General features: G+C 43.5%; 1 protein-coding gene and 1 pseudogene across 1 annotated transcript in view, besides 1 other annotated feature; both read right to left on the bottom strand.

Annotated features, from left to right (window-relative positions):
- Positions 1-20755, bottom strand: part of RHOU (ras homolog family member U) — a 102023-nt gene that overhangs the window by 55220 nt on the left and 26048 nt on the right. The gene's annotated exons all lie outside the window — the stretch shown is intronic.
- On the bottom strand, positions 3571-4033 carry FTH1P2 (ferritin heavy chain 1 pseudogene 2; annotated as a pseudogene).
- Positions 9033-9533: an enhancer, noted in NCBI's record as "H3K27ac hESC enhancer chr1:228817664-228818164 (GRCh37/hg19 assembly coordinates)". NCBI's record gives its function as "activates a minimal SCP1, AML or CMV promoter by ChIP-STARR-seq in naive H9 embryonic stem cells {active_cell/tissue: H9 hESC(naive)}" and the evidence as "EXISTENCE:reporter gene assay evidence [ECO:0000049][PMID:30033119]".

Here is a 20755-nt window from a genome sequence, read left to right as displayed (position 1 = left end):
GTGGTTGCCAGGAGTTGGAGGGAGGGAGGGAGGGAGGGAGGGATGAGTGAGTGGAGCACAGATGACTTTTAGGCCAGTGAAACTCCTCTGTGTGATACCGTAGTGGTGGAAACATGTCCTTACACATTTGTCAAAACCCATAAAATGTACAACACTAAGAGTGAACCTTAATGTAAACTACAGACTGGTGATAATGATGTGTCAATATAGATTTATTGATTGTAACAAACGTACTACTCTGTAGGAAATGCTGATAGTGAGGGAGGCCTGGAAAGAGGATATGGGAACTCTCTGCATTTTCTGTTCAATTTTCTGGGAACCTAAAGAGGTTTTGAAAAATAAAGTCTATTTAAAAAAAAAAAAATTATAAGCTGAATCCTCGCAGTTAATTTAGCTTCTTTCACAACCAAACTTTTACAAGTAACTGAGTTAAGTCGTTTCCTCCCTAATTTGAAGGCACTATTAATGACAACATAAAAGCACAAAACACAGTACTTAAGCACTATGTGATACACTCTTTTAAAACTAATCTTCCACCATGCACGGAGGCTCACGCCTGTAATCTCAGCACTTTGGGAGGCCGAGGAGGTCAGATCATGAGGTCAAGAGTTCGAGACCAGCCTGCCCAACATGGTGAAACCGCGTCTCTACTAAAAGTAAAAAAATTAGCCAGGCTATGTGGTGGGCGCCTGTAATCTCAGCTGCTCGGGAGACTGAGGCAGAAGAATCGCTTGAAATCAGAAGGCAAAGGTTTCAGTGAGCCGAGATCACGCCACTGCACTCCAGCCTGGGCAAAAGAGCAAAACTCCATCTCAAAAAAAACCAAACAGCCGGGCCTGGTGGCTCACGCCTGTAATCCCAGCACTTTGGGAGGCCAAGGCGGGCGGATCAGCTGAGGTCAGGAGTTCGAGACCAGCCTCAATATGGAGAAACCCCGTCTCTACTAAAAATACAAAATTAGCCAGGCGTGGTGGTGCATGCCTGTAATCCCAGCTACTCAGGAGGCTGAGGCAGGAGAATTGCTTGAACCTGGGAGGCGGAGGTTGCGGTGAGCCGAGATCATGCCATTGCACTCCAGCCTGGGAAACAAGAGCAAAACTCCATCTCAAAGAGAAAAAAAAAAAACAAACAAACTAATCTTCAGCATTTGGTCTCTCAAGTTGCCCACTTGGCCCTCTTTCAAGTGTACCTTCCTTCCTTTTCTTCCTTTCCTTACTTCTCTAAAGCTTTTTAATAAACTTTCACTCCTGCTCTAAAAAACAAAAACAAACAAACAAACAAAACAAATCTTTTAAATAAAAATCAGTCTGATCAAAGAAAATTACAGCAAGTAGTACAGAGAGGTAGCTCTTTAACACTTAGTAAATGTCTTAAGTGTATTGTTTGGGGGAAAGGACACATTGAAACAGCGTTAAGAATTGATTCTGCGTGCTCCAATTACATTTTTTTTAAATTCCGGTTTCAGGCACACTGGAAAGTGTGGGAAGAGAAAGTTCTTGCTGAAATTTTGATTAAATTTTCAGTCTCAGGAGACTGACCCAAACATTTCATGGTTCACAGATGGCTTATAACAGTGGTTCCCAACATTTTTGTTGCCAGGGACCAGTTTCGTGGAAGACAATTTTTCCACGAACTAGGGGTGGTAGGGATGGTTTCGGTATGAAACTGTTCCATCTCAGATCATCAGGCATTAGTTAGATTATCATTAAGAGCCAGCACCCTAGATCCCTCACATGCACAGTTCACAATAGGGTTTGAGCTCCTGTGAGACTAATATCACTGCTGATCTGACAGGAGGCGGAGCTCAGGTGGTAATGCTCACCCACTGCTCACCTCCGGCTATGCAGCCTGGTTGCTAACAGACCACAGACCAGCACCTGTCTGCAGCCCAGGAGTTGGGGACCCCTGGCTTAAAACAAAGTAGTCAAGTGATTGCATATTCATTTGTAGCCCTGAAATGACAACAAAATAGAGCAGCACTACAGTCAGCAGACAGTTTCCATAGGGATCAACAGGCAGATTCAGCTTGATTACAGCTACTGATGTCATGGAAGTATCATGTCCCAATCGCGTTTCTCACTGCTGACTTTATTACACATTTGCTGGGCCCTATCTGGATCCAGAAGTTCCAATGGCCTTTGGATTTACCCTTTCACATTGTCTGGCTTCTACTACAGATTACATATGACCTCTTTTGTTTGACTCTTCGGCTTCTTCGAGGGTTGGGTCTGACAAACTCAGGGTCCTTTGCCTCTCATGTTGGAATAAGATGGAAAAAACCTACAAAAGCTAGAAGATAGTGGGAAGAGAAGCTCCAAATGTGTGGGTTATTCAGGGATGAGGGAGACGGAAGTGAGGGAAAAGCAGCTTCTGAAGGGACTGTTCAGGCGGAGAAGGAGGAGAGGTCAGTGGTGCCTCTTCCCAAAGTCACTTTAAAATTACTGTCCATTCTGTCTCCCTAGAGCCTCTTCAAAGTGCCACCTTTACTGCTGCCAGTCTCATCTCACACACCCATATGTAGCTTTATATTTGTTTCTCTGTTTGAAAATCAGAAGGGAGGCTGAGGTCTTTGGACACACTCAGCTAAACTGACAAATCCAGCTGACCTGCAAGGACCACAGTGACACTGAGAGAATTCTACCTGCGCTGGTGACCTGTTCATTCTGCTTGACCAGGGAAGCAGAGAAAAGCACCATTTTGGACAAATACTGAAAGGCAGTACCAATCCTGGGACTTCTTGGTGTTTTGTACATAACTTTTGGTATCAGCACACACAGCACTTTACAACTGGCCATGGCCAGGCTCAGCAGAACTAATTCATGAGCCTGGGCTAGAACACAAATCAGCAGGAAGGTTTGCAGGAAAGGCACGATTCCCCACACTGGGTGGACTCCCTTGTTTAAGTGACAGCAGGCAGACATGGGAGGAATGGAAGGAGGGGTTAAATAATAGAGCACGATGCTAAGGAGGTCAAAATGGGAGATTTGCAACCCAAATGCCCTGGAAATCTGCTCCATTCTATGGCTGCAGTCCACATTTCTCAGTCCATAGGCTGCCAACTCACAAATGTCTGCTGTTCTTCACACATGAAAGAGGCAGTGGAAGGATTCGGGGGAAACCTGTGTCAGCTACAGAGAAAAAATTCATGTTCATGTCCTTTAGACAGCAGCTTAACAACATTAACAACATGGCCTTCTTCAAAAGGCAGTGGGAGGCATGAGTGGAGAGCTGTAACAGGTTAGGGTTGGTTCCAGCTACAGTTCCAGAAAACCCCAAGTCACAATAGCTCATCTTCATGGAGCATGTACTGTTAACCAGGCACTGTCCTAGACACCTGGGACCCATCCGTGAACAACAAACAAACAAACAAACAAAATCCTTGCTCTTGTACAGCTCACATTTTGTGGGGTGAGGGTGGGGTGGAAACAATACTCAAATGAAAGGAAGGAAGAAAGGAAGGAAGGGAGGGAGGGAGGGAGGGAGGAAGGACAGAAGGAAGGAAGGGACAGAGGGAGGGAGATGGAGCAGAGGAGGGAGAGGGGGAGAACAATATGTTAGAAAGGGATAACTCTTGGTGACCAGGGAAGTCACTCCCACGGCTATGTGGAAATTAGCCTGAGGCTTAGCTTTCATTATCACTGTCCCCCAGGGTGTGCTTGTCTAAGAGGTATTCCGCCGAGCCAGATTCGGGCGCTCCCATCTTGCACAAGTTGGTCACGTGCTCACCCAATTCTTTGATGGCTTTCACCTGCTTATTCAGGTAATGTGTCTCAATGAAGTCACACAAATGGGGGTCATTTTTGTCAGTGGCCAGTTTGTGCAGTTCCAGTAGTGACTGATTCACACTTTTTTCCAAATGTAATGCACACTCCATCGCATTCAGCCCGCTCTCCCAGTCATCACAGTCTGGTTTCTTGATATCCTGAAGGAAGATTCGGCCACCTCGTTGGTTCTGCAGCTTCATCAGTTTCTCAGCATGTTCCCTCTCCTCATGAGATTGGTGAAGAAAGTATTTGGCAAAGTTCTTCAAGGCAGTGCATGCATGTTGGGGTTTCCTTTACCTTTTCTATAAGTTGTACCAAAACATCCACTTAAGTTCGTTGATTTGTACCATTCCTTCAAATAAAGAAATTTGGTAACCAAAAAAAAAAGAAAGGGATAACTCTTGGGAACTGGGGAATAGAGAGAAGAGTACAGAGGGGAGGGACAGTCACGCTGAGGTGGGTGAGCACTCCCGCAAGTCTGGGTGGAGGCAGTGCCGGTCAGTGGAGCGGGCCAGTGAAGCCCACAGGTGCTTTCAGAGGAGTAAACAATTGTTCACTCAAATAGTGGAAAATGAGTTTTGTGTACTCTATCCCCTACTAGTCAGCTCACTATAATTTTTTATAATTCCTTAAATTCTCCCTTGCCGGCCAGGCACGGTGGCTCACGCATGTAATCCTAGCACTTTGGGAGGCTGAGAAGGGTGAATCACCTAAGGTCAGGAGTTCGAGACCAGCCTGGCCAACATGGTGAAATCCCCTCTCTACTAAAAATACAAAAATCAGCTAGATGTGGTGGTACACACCTGTAATCCCAGCTATTGGGAGGCTGAGGCAGGAGAATCACTTGAACCCTGGAAGCGGAGGTTGCAGTGAGCCAAGATCACGCCACTGCACTCCAGCCTGAGAGACAGAGGAAGACTCCCTCTCAAAAAAAAATTCTCCCTTGCTTTTTGGTTGGGATTATCAAGGCTTTAAAAGTTAGGAATTTAACATTTTAAGAGCTGACTCTGTTGCCAGACCAGACCTTTAAAAAGCCATTGCTTTTCATAGCAAAAACCGCAATGAGTTTTGCACCGACCCAATACTAAAAGAGGGCAAGTGCTCACCATGGCTTGCACTAAATATCAGTTGTCTCATGGTGTAGGAGAGTATTCCTCTAGATTTCTGAAACTGAAATTCAGAAATATATTGTCAAACATAATAGGTTTTAAACTGCAAATATGTAATTATTGTATTTTATATATTTTTATTGTTTTATTGCCATTTTAGAAATTTTAAGCATACAATTCAATGGCATTAATTATATTCATAATGTTGTACAACTATCACCACTATTTCCAAAATATTTCATCTCCTCAAACAGAAACTCTTTATTATAATAATATTAGTTAATAAAACACATTGAGTAACTACAAAGTACTAATCACTATATAGCTATTGTTTCATTTAAATATCATAGAAACCTCATGAGTTAGTTATTTTTATTTTATTCATGAAGAAGTTGAAGATAAGGGAGATTTAACTAATTCCTCTAAATCTAATAAGTAGCAAAATTATAACTAAAACTCAAATATAACACAACCCTATAAGCAAGTCAGATTTTGGGGTCAATGGACTAATACAAAAGTCTGATCACTAACTTACATTGTGTTTCCTCTTAATGGTTTTATTTCATCTTCATATAATAAGATGTCAAAGTGTAAAACTCTGATCTTATAAACTCTGATCAGAATAAAATTACTAAGATTCTTGGCTTTAAAAATGCTTCCATTTACAGATTCTTTTAATAATAGCTCTGGGGATAATTAAGGGTTGCACTAGATTAACTCTTGAAGAGAAAGGAGTCGGTAGACAAAAAAGTTCTGAGTGTCAAATGCTACTGATTAAGGGTTTCACTAAAGGAGAACAAAGAGGTTTTTCAATTAGAATGTAAGTCAATGAGAAGATTAATTTTGATTAACAGAAATACATTTAACCTATATATAATTTTAACAGGAAGATATATATTCACATACAGTCATTTCATGAGTCTCTGAATACTTTAGTTATCTTCTAAAACTCTCAAATTCCCCAGTAAATTCTCAGAGCAGTATCCTATCATTCTCTGGCTCCAAATGCTCAATAGATTTCCATTTTAATTTTTCACAGAATCAACCATCCAGAGAATGGTGCTCCATTTGGTTCCAGTTTTGTTTCTCCTAATTTCCCTTTGTGGTCATTTCTCTTTACAGCATTTGCTCTCTTTCTAGTCTCTCACTCTGAGTTTCAGTTTCCAAGTATTTGTTAAAACTCATTCCCAAATTCCTACTGTCAGAGGCATTGGAACCAGAGCAACTCCATCTTAATAGAGGCTGGGTAAAATAAGGCTGAGGCCTACTGGGCTGCATTCCCAGACACTTAAGGCATTCTAAGTCACAGGATGAGATAAGAAGTCAGCACAAGATACAGGTCATAAAGACCTTGCTGACAGAACAGACTGCAGTAAAGAAGCCAGCCAAAACCCACCAATACCAAGATGGCAATGAGAGTGACCTCTGGTCATCCTCACTGCTACGCTCCTACCAGCACCATGGCAGTTTACAAATGTCATGGCAATGTCAGGAAGTTACCCTATATAGCCTAAAAATGGGAGACATAAATAATGCACCCGTTGTTTAGAATATCATCAAAAAATAACCATAGAAATAGGCAACCAGCAGCTCTCGGAGTAGCTGGTCTGCTCTGTCTATGGAGTAGCCGTTCTTTTATTCCTCCACTTTCCTAGTAAACTTGCTTTCACTTTACAAACTCGTCCTGAATTCTTTCTTACACAAGATCAAGAACACTCTCTTAGGGTCTGAGCTATTATCGGGACCGTTTCCTGGAACAGCACCACGTTCCCTTTTGGTCTGCAAGCCAGAAACTGGAAGTCATCCTTGTGGTTCCTTCTCCCTCACCCTCACAACTACTCTATTACCAGAGCCTGCATGTTTTTTCCTGCCTTATGGGGGTGGCTGCAAAATCTAGCACCCAAACAGGAACGATTCTGAGAGTGAAAAGGACTAATATTAACAGTTATGTCAGCAGGGCACAGTAGATCACGCCTGTAATCCCAATACTTAGGCCGAGACACGTGGATCACTTGAGCCCAGGAGTTCAAAACTAGCCTGGCCAACATGGCAAAACACCATTTCTACAAAAAATACAAAAATTAGCCGGGCATGGTGGTGCACGCCTGTAGTCCCAGCTACTCAGGGGGCTGCGGTGGAAGGATCACTTTAGCCCAGGAGGTGGAGGTTGCAATGTGCCAGATCTTGCCACTGCACTCCAGCCTGGATGACACATGAGACCTAGTCTCAAAAAACAAACTGGCCAGGCGCAGTGGCTCACATGGGTAATCTCAGCACAGTGGGAGGCTGAGGCGGGAGGATCACCTGAGGTCAGCAGTTCAAGACCAGCCTGGCCATCAGGGTGAAACCCTATCGCTACTAAAAATACAAAAATTAGACCATCATGGTGGCACACACCTGTAATCCCAGCTATCAGGAGGCTGAGGCAGGAGAATTGCTTGAACCTGGGAGCTGGAGGTTGCAGTGAGCCGAGATCATGCCACTGCACTCCAGCCTGGGCGACAGAGCAAGACTCCGTCTCAAAAAGAAAGAAAGAAACAAACAAAAACCAGTCTTCAACCACAGGCATACGCTGGGATTCTATGATCTCCAAGTCCACAGATCCTCAGTTTTCTCCATGTCCATAGTTTCTGACCCATCATTCCAATTGTCTTCTAAGGATCTGGTTCTCATGGAGGCACACCTACCCTGACCCCTCTCCCTCCCATGCTGCACAGGCAGCCAGACACGGGGATCTTTTCAAAATGTCAACGTGGGGAAATCCATCTTGCCCACCCCCACCGCACAGTTTCTTAGGACCTCCTGAAACCGTGCAACTCTGGCTGCCATCACTCATATTGGCTCAGAATAAACCTCTTTAAAAATATTTTGGAAAAATTTGGATTTTGCCATCATCAATTACAATTTGTTAAAGAGTGTCCTTGTTATAGAAATTTTTTAAATTATGCTGTCAGCAAATTTGTCTATTTTTTCCTTTATGGATTTTGTGGGGGTTTTTTCTTTAAGTAGACATTCATTAAATCAAGAACTCAAAAACATTTTCCTCTATCATTTTAGTATATTTCCCAAATGGAAAATTTGTTGTTCCAACATCACTGATTGGATAATTTATCCCACATATATCATATGTAAAATCTCAATATCTACCTGATCCTATCTCCTAAGTAAGCTCCATCGATGTATTTGGCTATTCCCACAATAGTACCACCAAATAAACTTCATATTTCTCCTTCTCCCTTTCCAGAATGCAAACAGGATGCTAGGGGTGAAATGCCTGTCCTGTGACCAGAAGACAATAGGGTGGAAGACAGGTGGACCGGTTGCCTCTGTGGCTATCAGATAATGCCTCCTTCAAACCATGATTAGGTCAGTGGCTGCCTATGGGGTTTTCAGTGACTCAGAACCGAGTTAAAATCTTAACTGGTACAAGATCTGTCAGGTGTAGTTGACTCCAGCCCAGATCCCAAGGGTGGCAATTTCTTCTGGGCATTCAACTCAACAAGGATTGATTCACTTACTGAAATTAGTGGTTGAGAAACAGTTAACATCCTCTCCTAATGAGCTTAACCAGAAGATATACAGTATGGGGCTCATGGGGCTGCCTTTTGCCTTTGAGAAAAGTCAAAGCACCATGGGGCTACTTCACTCCACTCACCCCCACATCTCCATTGCTCTGACTCAACCTCTCTGTGTCTTATCTGAGATTTCAGTGTCAGATTTGAGTGACATCCAACTCCCTTCCCATACTCCCTTTAGAATTACAAGTAAATTTACTGATATTTATATAAGTGGCAATGACGATGGATGGTGGTGGGTCCGGTTTTCTGTTTCTATGTTGTGAGGTTTTTATTTGTGTTTCTATTGATCTGCCTTTTCCTCTTTACTCAACATTATGATTTGTTTCTGCCCCACCCTAACTGATCAACGTACTTTGTAATCTCCACCACCCTTAAGAAGTTTCTTTGCAATCTCCCCCACCCTTGAGAAGATTCTTTGTAATTCTCCCCACCCTTGAGATGTACTTTGTGAGATCCACCCCCTGCCTGGAAAACATTGCTCCTAACTCCACCGCCTATCCCAAAACCTGCAAGAACTAATGATAATCCCACCACCCTTTGCTGACTCTCTTTTTGGACTCAGCCCACCTACACCCAGGTGAAATAAACAGCCTTGTTGCTCACACAAAGCCTGTTTGGTGGTCTCTTCACACAGAAGCATGAGACATTTGGTGCTGAAGACCCGGGTCAGAGGGACTCCTTCGGGAGACCAGTCCCCTGTCCTCACCCTCACTCCGTGAAGAGATCCACCTATGACGTCAGGTCCTCAGACCAACCAGCCCAAGGAATATCTCACCAATTTCAAATCGGGTAAACAGTCTTTTCACTCTCTTCTCCAGCCTCTCTCCCTACCCTTCAATCTCCCTGTCCTTCCAAGTCCAGTTATTTTTCCTCTCTAATAGAGACAAACGAGACACATTTTATCCATGGACCCAAAACTCTGGCGCCAGTCACCAACTTAGGAAGACAGCCTACCCTTGGTGTTTAATCATTGCAGGGTGTGCCTGCTTGATTATTCACCCACACCCCATTGGTGTCTGATCACCACGGGGATGCCTGCCTTGGTCATTCACCCACATTCCCTTGGTGGCAAGTCAATTGTGGGGACACCTGCTTTGGCTGCTCACCCACATTGCAGCCCAGGACTGCTCCCCACCCCGCTTCTCCGTGTCTCTACCCTTCTCTTTAAACTTGCCTCCTTTACTATGGGCAACCTTCCACCCTCCATTTCTCCTTCTTCTCCCTTAGCCTGTGTTCTCAAGAGCTTAAAACCTCTTCACCTCTTGCCTGACCTAAAATCTAAGCATCTTATTTTCTTCTCCAACACCGCTTGGCCCCAATACAAACTCGACAATGGTTCTAAATGGCCAGAAAATGACACTTTCGATTTCTCCATCCCACGAGACCTAGATACTTTTTGTCGAAAAAAGGGCAAATGGTCTGAGGTGCCTTACGTCCAGGCATTTTTCACACTTTGTTCCCTCCTTAGTCTCTGTTCCCAATGCGACTCATCCCAAATCCTCCTTCTTTCCCTCCCGCCTGTCCCTTCAGTCTCAACCCCAGTCGTCACTGAGTCTTGTGAATCTTCCTTTTCTGCTGACCCATCTGACCCCTCACCTCCTCCCCAGACTGCTCCTCCTCAGCTCGCTCCCCGCCAGGCTGAATCAGGCTCCAACTCTTCTTCAGCCTCTGCTCCCTCACCCTATAACCCTTCTATTAACTCCCCTTCCCACACCCGGTCTGGTTTACAGTTTCATTCTGCGACTAGCTCTCCCCCTCCTGCCCAACAATTTCCTCTTAGAGAGGTGGCTGGAGCTGAAGGCATAGTCAGAGTACATGTGCCTTTTTCTCTACCAAACGTTTCCCAAATCAGCCAGCGTTTAGGCTCTTTCTCATCAGACACCAATAAATATATACAGGAATTCCAATATCTAACTCTGTCCTACAGTTTAACCTGGAGAGACTTAAATGTCAGCCTAACTTCTACCCTCTCCCCAGATGAATGGGAAAGAGTCTTCTCTCTAGCCCAATCTCACGCTGATAATCACCGGCTTCATGAGCCAGACCTCCAGGAAGGCATTAGAGCAGTTCCCTGAGAAGATCCCCTATGGAACTATCAGGCAGATTCCCCAGGTATAGCTAGGCGAAATTACATGGTTTCTTGCCTAGTTGAAGGGCTTAAAAAGGCAGCTCACAAAGCTGTTAATTATGACAAACTTAAAGAAACTACCCAAGGTAAAGATGAAAACCCAGCCCAGTTCATGGCCTGCTTAGTTAGCAGAAATCCTTAGATGCTTTACCGCCCTAGACCCAGAGGGACCAGAAGGTCACCTTATTCTTAATATGCATTTTATCACCCAGTCAGCTCCTGACATTAGAAAAAAGCTTCAAAAATTGGAATCCGGCCTTCAAACCCCACAACAGGAATTAATCAACCTCGCCTTCAAGGTGTACAATAATAGAGAGGAGGTGGCCAGACAGCAACGCATTTCTGAGTTACAGCTACTTGCCTCCGCTGTAAGACAACCCACAACCACATCTCCAGCATACAAAAAAACTTCAGAACATCCAAGCCACAGCTCCCAGAGGCTCCTTAAAAACATCCTCGTGGACCTTGTTTCAAATGCCAAAAGCCTGGCCACTGGGCCTCAGAATGCCCACGGCCCGGGATTCCTCCTGAGCCGTGCCCTGTCTGTGCAGGCCCCCACTGGAGGTCAGACTGTCCGACTCACATTGCTGCTGCTCCTGAAGCCCCTGGAGCCCAAACCCAATGTTCCCTGGCCAACTCCTTCCAGATCTGATGCTGCCGGATCACCTCGGAAGCCTCCTGGACCATCACAGATGCTTTGGGTAACTCTCACAGTGGAGGGTAAGTACATCCCCTTATTAATCAATACGGAGGCAACCCACTCCACATTACCTTCTTTTCAAGGGTGTGTTTCCCTTGCCTCCATAACTGTTGTGGATTATGACAGCCAGGCTTCTTAACCTCTTAAAACTCCCCAACTCTGGTGCCAACTTGGACAATTTTCTTTTATGCACTCCTTTTTAGTTATCCTCACCTGCCCAGCTCCCTTATTGGCTCGAGACATTTTAACTAAATTACATGCTTCCCTGACTATTCCTAGGCTACAGCCATACCTCATTACCGCCCTTTTCCCCCAGTTCAAAGCCTCCTTCACATCCTCTCCTTGTATCTCCCCACCTTAATCCACCTCTACTCCCTCCTTGAGGATGGATGATGCACCCCTTACCATCCCATTAAAACCTAATCACCCTTACCCCGATCAATGCCAGTATCCCATCCCACCGCATGCTTTAAAAGGATTAAAGCCTGTTATCACTTATCTGTTGTAGCATGGCCTTTTAAAGCCTATAAACTCTCCTTACAATTCCCCCATTTTACCTGTCCAAAAACTGGACAAGCCTTACATTTTAGTTCAGGATCTGCGCCTTATCAACAAAATTGTCTTGCCTATCCACCCCATGGTGCCAAACCCATATATTCTCCTATCCTCAATACCTCCCTCCACAACCCATTATTCTGTTCTAGATAAACCTAGCTGACCCCATAAATCCTAAATCCTTTCCACACTCCCCTGTCCATTCCTTAAAAAACAGCCCTGGCCGGGCGCGGTGGCTCACGCCTGTAATCCCAGCACTTTGGGAGGCCGAGGCGGGCGGATCACGAGGTCAGGAGATCGAGACCATCCCGGCTAAAACGGTGAAACCCCGTCTCTACTAAAAATACAAAAAATTAGCCGGGCGTAGTGGCGGGCGCCTGTAGTCCCAGCTACTCGGGAGGCTGAGGCAGGAGAATGGCGTGAACCCGGGAGGCGGAGCTTGCAGTGAGCCGAGATCCCGCCACTGCACTCCAGCCTGGGCGACAGAGCGAGACTCCGTCTCAAAAAAAAAAAAAAAAAAAAAAAAAAAAAAAAAAAAAAAAAAAAAAAACAGCCCTAAAATCTGCTCCCACACTAGTTCTCCCTAACTCATCCCAACCTTTTTCATTACACACAGCCGAAGTGCAGGGCTATGTGGTTGGAATTCTTACACAAGAGCCAGGACCACGCCCTGTAGCCTTTCTGTCCAAATAACTTGACCTTACTGTTTTAGCCTAGCCCTCATGTCTGCGTGGGGTGGCTGCCACTGCCTTAATACTTTTAGAGACCCTCAAAATCACAAACTATGCTCAACTCACTCTCTACAGTTCTCATAACTTCCAAAATCTATTTTCTTCCTCACACCTGATGCATATACTTTCTGCCCTCCTCCACTACCTCTCAGCAAGCCAAACTCATTGCCTTAACTCGAGCCCTCACTCTTGCAAAAGGACTACGTATCAATATTTATACTGACTCTAAATATGCCTTCCATATCCTACACCACCATGCTGTTTTATGGGCTGAAAGAGGTTTCCTCACTACTCGAGGGTCCTCCATCATTAATGCCTCTTTAATAAAAACTCTTCTTAAGGCCGCTTTACTTCCAAAGGAAGCTGGAGTCATTCACTGCAAGGGCCATTAAAAGGCATCACATCCCATCGCTCAGGGCAACGTTTATACTGATAAGGTAGCTAAAGAAGCAGCTAGCCTTCCAACTTCTGTCCCTCACGGCCAGTTTTTCTCCTTCTCATTGGTCACTCCCACCTACTCACCGACTGAAACTTCTACCTATCAACCTCTTCCCACACAAGGCAAATGGTTCTTGGACCAAGGAAAATATCTCCTTCCAGCCTCACAGGCCCATTCTAATCTATCATCATTTCATAACTTCTTCCATGTAGGTTACAAGCTGCTAGCCCGCCTCTTAGAACCTCTCATTTCCTTTCCATCATGGAAATCTATCCTTAAGGAAATCACTTCTCAGTGTTCCATCTGCTATTCTACTACTCCTCAGGGATTGTTCAGGCCCCCTCTCTTCCCTACACATCAAGCTCGGGGATTTGCCCCTGCCCAGGACTGGGAAATTGACTTTACTCACATGCCCCGAGTCAGAAAACTAAAATACCTCTTGGTCTGGGTAGACACTTTCACTAGATGGGTAGAGGCCTTTCCCACAGGGTCTGAGAAGGCCACCACAGTCATTTCTTCCCTTTTGTCAGACGTAATTCCTCAGTTTGGCCTTCCCACCTATATACAGTCCAATAACGGGCCTGCCTTTATTAGTCAAATCACCCAAGCAGTTTCTCAGGCTCTTGGTATTTAGTGGCTCCTGGTTTTACCTCAAATCGCCACCCTTAAGCCTCTCTTGAATTGGATAGAAGATCTTCAGTGGCAAGGTACCCTCCAATACTTTCACCCTGATGAAGTCCTATTCTTTATTTTTATACTCACTCTTATTCTGGTTCCCGTTCTTATGCCACCTTCTACCTCTCCGCAGCTATCTCCACCACACTATCAAATTCACTCTCTCCTAGCCGTTTCTAATCCTTCTTTAACAAACAATTGCTGGCTTTGCATTTCACTTTCCTCCAAAATCGCTGAGGCCCTGACTTACTCACTGCTAAAAAAAAGGGGGGGACTGTATATTTGTAAATGAAGAGTGTTGTTTTTACCTAAATCAATCTGGCCTGGTATATGACAACATAAAAAAAACTCAAGGATAGAGCCCAAAAACTTGCCAACCAAGAAAATAATTATGCTGAACCCCCTTTGACACTCTGTAATTGGACGTCCTGGGTGCTCCCAATTCTTAGTCCTTTAATACCTGTTTTTCTCTTTCTCTTATTTGGACCTTGTGTCTTTCGTTTAGTTTCTCAATTCATACAAAACCACATCCAGGCCATCACCAATAATTCTATACTACAAATGCTCCTTCTAACAACCCCACAATATCACCCCTTACCCCAAAACCTTTCTTCAGTTGGGTCTCTCCCACTGTAGGTTCCCACGCCACCCCAATCCCGCTTGAAGCAGCCCTGAGAAATCACCCATTATCTCTCCATACCACCCCAAAAAATTTTCACCGCCCCAACACTTTACCACTATTTCATTTTATTTTTCTTATTAATATAAGAAGACAGGAATGTCAGGCCTCTGAGCCCAGGCTAAGCCATCATAACCCCTGTGGCCTGCATGCATACATCCAGATGGCCTGAAGCAACTGAAGATCCACAAAAGAAGTGAAAATAGCCTTAACTGATAACATTCCACCATTATGATTTGTTTCTGCCCCACCCTAACTGATCAATGTACTTTGTAATCTCCCCCACCCTTGAGAAGGTTCTTTGTAATTCTCCCCACCCTTGAGAATGTACTTTGTGAGATCCACCCCCTGCCTGCAAAACATTGCTCCTAACTCCACCGCCTATCCCAAAACCTGCAAGAACTAATGATAATCCCACCACCCTTCACTGACTCTCTTTTCAGACTCAGCCTGCCTGCACCCAGGTGAAATAAACAGCCTTGTTGCTCACACAAAGCCTGTTTGGTGGTCTCCTCACATGGACGTGTGTGACAATATATAGAGAGAGATAGAGTCCAAAAGAATCTACATATTGAGAAACTAAAAAACAGTTTTTTTTCGAGATGGAGACTCACCATATTGACCAGGCTGGTCTCAAACTCTTGGCCTCAAGCAGTCCTCCCATCTCAGCCTCCCAAAATCCAAAGTGCTAGGATTACAGGTATGAGCCACCATGTCTGGGCAAAAACAAACAAACAAACAAAAAACATTTTTTTAATCTGAGGAATGTGAACCCCTTTAAATTATCAGGCCCAGAGAGGCATTTAAAATATAAGAGTAAGGTTCAGGCACTGAGGCTCACACCTGTAATCTCAGTGCTTTGGAAGGTCAAGGTGAAAGGATTGCTTGAGGTCAAGAGTTCAAGGCCAGCCTGGTGCAACACAGGGAGACTCTGTCACTTTAAAAAAAAAAGGGGGGGGGCGGTTACAGCAGTCATAGCTCACTCCCCTTGGAACTAAATAATTACCTCTTGAAGCCACTTGTTATGTGGGCTCTAGACTAACTGAAACCAAGTAGCCATAACATGCCATATATGCTATTTCTGTAAACCAGTGAAAATTCCTGATGAATAACTTTTGTAATGGCCTCTTCTCCTAATTTTTCCTTTTTTTTTTCTGAAAACTTGAGTTTCTCCTCTGTTCTCTGGATCACTCTCCAAAGAAACCTGAAAGTGTATCCTGGGCTGCAGCCCTAAACCCTAGTCCAAATAAAATCTCTGTATTAATTTTGCCTCTGCTTCTTCTTTTTAGGTCAATCATATAAACTCCTGTAAGATCTCTGAATATAAAATCATTATACCAATATGAAATCCAATAGTTTTGTTAAGTTTTCATATATGAAATCCATTATAGCAGCAGTGAGCATTACAGATTAAATTACAGAAAAATCTGTTATAATAGCCTTTTAAAAACATCAAATTCTCAAGAATAGATGTAATAAAAGTGTGGAATACCTCTACACAAAAGTGTATTAAACATTACTGAAGCAAATTAAAGAAAACATAAATAAATGCAACAGATGGAGCGGTATGTACTTTGCCTGAGGATTGAAAAAGAGTCACTATGGGAAAGACAAATTTATCTATAGATTCAATGCAATCTCAAACAAAATCCCAATAGCTTTTGTGTCTGTGTGTGGAAATTTAAAAGTCAATCTAAAATTTGTGGAAATAAACAAAAGTAGCTACAAAAATGTAGAAGAAGGAGGAGATAGTTCAAGGACTAACACTACTAAAATTTATCTAGTATAAATACAAGGATATAAAATAAACTGATGGGAAAAAATAGAGATTCCATAAACAGACCCATGCTCCTATGCACACTTGATCTGTGATAGGAGACACTGCAGAACCCTGAGGAAGAATGATCTTTTCAAGAAACAGTGCTGCTTCAATTTCATATCAATAAGGAGGAAAATGAAACTTGAACCCTACTTAAATCACATGCAAGCATATCAATCCTTGTGAACTGCAGATCTAAGTTTGAAAAGTAAAACAATAAAGGTTCTTAGAATATAATATAGGAGGCCAGGCACGGTGGCTCACGCCTGTAATCCCAGCACTTTGGGAGGCCAAGACGGGCGGATCACGAGGTCAGGAGATTGAGACCATCCTGGCTAACACGGTGAAATCCCGTCTTTACTAAAATACAAAAAATTAGCCGGGCATGGTGGCAGGCGCCTGTAGTCCCAGCTACTTGGGAGGCTGAGACAGGAGAACGGCGTGAACCCGAGAGGCGGAGCTTGCAGTGAGCCGAGGTCGCGCCACTGCACTCCAGCCTGGGCGACAGAGCGAGACTCTGTCTTAAAAATAAAAAAAAATTTAAAAAAAAGAATATAATATACAAGTATACAGTCATGACCTTGTGGTAGGAAATCATTTATTAGCGGGTACAAAAGGTACTAAACAGCTGGGGTGCGGTGGCTCATGCCTGTAATCCCAGCACTTTGGGGGGCCGAGGGAAGCAGATCACTGGAGGTCAGGAGTTTGAGACCAGCCTGGACAACATGGTGAAACTCCGTTTCTACTAAAAAGCAAAAATTAGCTGGGTGTGGTGGCAGGCACCTGTAATCCCAGCTACTCAGGAGGCTGAGGCTGGAGAATCGCTTGAACCTGGGAGGCAGAGGTTGCAGTGAGCCGAAATTGCACCACTGCGCTCCAGCCTGGGTGACAATAGTGAAACTCCCTCTCAAAAAAAAAAAAAAAAAGGTACTAAACACTAAGGAAAAGATGTGTATATTAGACTAAATTAAAATCAGGAACCTCAAACGATTGCATTAAGAGAACTAAATGACAAGAGAATGTGTTTGCAGTATATATTTGACAAAGGAAGACTTAATAAGAAAAGACAAATAGAAAAATGGCCAAGATATATAACTTCACAAAAGAGGATATTCAAATGGCCAATGCATGCATGAAAAGGAACTCAATATCAATTGTTATCAAATTAATGCAAGTTAAAACCACAACACTTCCACTATAGTTCCACCAGAGTAACTAAAATGCAAAAGCCAGTGTTGGCAAGAATGCGGAAAAACTAAAACTGTCATGATGGGAAGCGTAAATTGGTACAATCACTTTTGACAAATTCTTTGGAAGGATCTACTAAAGTAGAGCATGCACATTTCCTATGACCCAGCAACTGTAGCACTAGATACGCTCAATAGAAATGTATTCACATGTGCTCCAAAAGACATATGCTATTTAGAATAACCTAAAGCTGTAAACACCCTGTATTAGTCTGTTCTTGCACTGCTATAAAGAACTACCTGAGACTAGGTAATTTATAAAGAAAATAAGTCTATTTGGCTCACAATTGTGCATGCTATACAGGAAGCATGACTGAGAAGGCCTCAGGAAACTTACATTATGGCGGAAGGTGAAAAGGAAGGAGGCATGTCTTACATGCCCAGAGCAGGAGGAAGAGAGTGAAGGGGAAGGTGCTACACACTTTTAAACAACCAGCTCTCTTGAAAACTCTCTCATGATCACAAGAACAGCAGGGAGGAAATCCGTCCCCATGAGCCAATCACTTCCCACCAGGTCCCTCCTCCGATACTGGGGATTACAATTTAACATGAGATTTGAGCAGGGACACCAATTCAAACCATATCACACCCCTAATGTCCCTCATAGTGGATGGATAAATTAATTGGGGTATATTCAAGCAGCTATGAAAATAAACCAACTTACAACTGCAAAAACATGAATGAATCTCACCAAAATAATGTTGAGCTAAAGAAAACTATCACAAAGAATGCATGCTGTGATTCCATTTTACAAAGATCAAGAACAAGCAAAACTAATGTGTGGTTTAAGGAGTTAGATTAGTGGTGTCCCGTGAAGAAAAGATTAGGAAAAGTGATCAGATGGGGCTTCTGGGATACTAAGAATGTTCTATTTCTTGATCTGAGTGATGAGTACAAGTGTGTATGTTTGCCAGTTTGCCAGGTTCTATGCTTAAAACATTTGCATTTGGGGCACGTATATTTCAATATGAATTTTTTTAATCAAGTAAAAATAAAATTGGAAGTTGAGACTACCCTAGCCATTTAGGGTTACTTGTGCCACTAGACAAGAAGTAAAGAATAAGCTGTGGCAGTTCATCCCAATTACAGGTGGAAATCGGGCTGCTGCTACCTGCAGGGAGTAAGAAGTAATCTGCCTGAAACCCAGCCAATTCATTGACTTTGTCTCAGTACTCTCTTGCTGGGTAATACTAGGCAGTGGGAAACCGTAGTAACACAGTAAGACAAAACCACTGAAAAAGGCTTGGATGCTATGGCAACGCAAGTTTGGATCATACCCCCGGAGAAAAACTCAAACTTCCTGAGGTGATGGCAAAGGTGATTTATGAAAATAGTGTATCCAGGTAGTTTAAACTAATTTCTCCACTCCCCACTACTGCAGTATTAAACTTGGGCATGTGCATCATCATCTTTGAGGGAATACATCTCATTCTCACATTTTTATCAGTAGTTTTTGACTTAACTGGAAAGATCAAGCTGACCCACCTAAATTCCGACTTCAAATTTAAGTTACAAAGGTTTAACTTTGTGCTATTAAAATTTTCTTTTAAAATATGAAAATGCGGCTGGGCACAGTGGCTCGTGCCTGTAATCCCAGCACTTTGGGAGGCCGAAGCAGGTGGACCATCTGAGGTCAGAAGTTCGAGACCAGCCTGGCAAACATGTTGAAACAACAATTCTACTAAAAATACAAAAAATCAGCTGTGTCTGGTGGCGGGCACCTGTAATCCCAGCTACTCCAGAGGTGGGAGAATTGCTTGAACCCGGGAGGCAGAGGTTGCAGTGAGCTGAGGTTGCACCATTGCACTCCAGCCTGGGCAACAAGAGCAAAACTCCATCTCAAAAACATGTATGTGTGTATATATATGAAAATGCAATTATATCAAAATGAAGGCCCTAGATTTTTTGCTCTGTTTTCTAGAAGAATGTTTGGCATATATGTAAGCACAATCATTTCCATTCACTTAAGTTTCAGGAACTCTTTTGATTTGTGTGCATGTGCACCAGTGTGCACACTTACATAAACATGGCTGACTCCTACATGATAGTTTTCTCTTTGGTGTATACATTTATTCAAAAGAATGTACAAGAACAGAACTCAGTTATATAACTAGATAAATGTATAATCACAAGATCTATATTATTTTGAAAAATGGCAATAAATTCATATAAAGTCACTAAGACTATACCTGGTACAAATATGGATTTGATGACCACTTAGTGTCCACTGGTTAGAAATCACGGTGTTAAAGTTGAAAATATTTCCATCAATCCTTTTCACTTAGTTCTCTTTTTTTTTTTTTTTTTTTTTTTGAGATGGAGTCTTGCTCTGTCACCCAGGCTGGAGTGCAGTGGCCCTCAGCTCACTGCAACCTCCGCCTCCTAGGTTCAAGTGATTCTCCTGCCTCAGCCTCATGAGTAGCTGGGATTTCAGGCACCCACCACCATGCTGGGCTAATTTTTGTACTTTTAGTAGAGACGGGGTTTCACCACATTGGCCAGGCTGATCTCAAACTCCTGACCTAACGTAATCCACTTGCCTCGGCCTCCCAAAGTGCTTGGATTACAGGCATGACCCACCACCCCCGGCCGATTGTCATATTTTTAAATTCACATTTTCCATATTTAAAAATAATAAAAATTACCACCTTATTTCTTAAGAAATAGACCATAAGACATCTGTATTAGTCTGTTTTCACATTGCTATAAAGAATTACTTGAGGCTAGGCATGGTGGCTCACACCTGTAATCCTAGAACTTTGGGAGGTCAAGGCGAGTGGATCACCTGAGGTCAGGAGTTTGAGACCAGCCTTGCCAACATGGCGAAAACCTGTCTCTACTAAAAATACAAAAATTAGCTGGGCATGATGATGCATGCCTGTAATCCCAGCTACTCAGGAGGCTGAGGAAGGAGAATCACTTGAACCCGGGAGGTGGAGGTTGCAGTGAGCCAAGATCACGCCACTGCACTCCAGCCTGCACAACAGGAGTGAGACTACATCTGAAAAAACAACAACAACAACTTAAGACTGGGTAATTTATGAAGAAAAGAGGTTTAATCAACTCACAGTTCTGTAGGCTGTACAGGAGACATGGCTAGGGAGGCCTCAGGAAACTTACAATCATGGCAGAAGGTGAAGAGGAAGCAAGCATTTCTTCCCACAGTGGAGCAACAGACAGAGAGTAAAGGGGGCAGTACCACACACTTTTTAAACCACCAGAGCTTGTGAGAACTCACTCACTATCATGAGAACGGCAAGGGAGAAGTCCGCCCCCATGATCCAGTCACCTCCCACCAGGCCTCTGCTCCAACACTGAGAATCACAACTCG

Source organism: Homo sapiens, chromosome 1, assembly GCF_000001405.40.
Source record: "Homo sapiens chromosome 1, GRCh38.p14 Primary Assembly".
Taxonomy (NCBI): Eukaryota; Metazoa; Chordata; class Mammalia; order Primates; family Hominidae; genus Homo; species Homo sapiens.
Note: the sequence above shows the minus strand (reverse complement) of the source record. Positions and strands in the feature narration are given on the sequence as shown.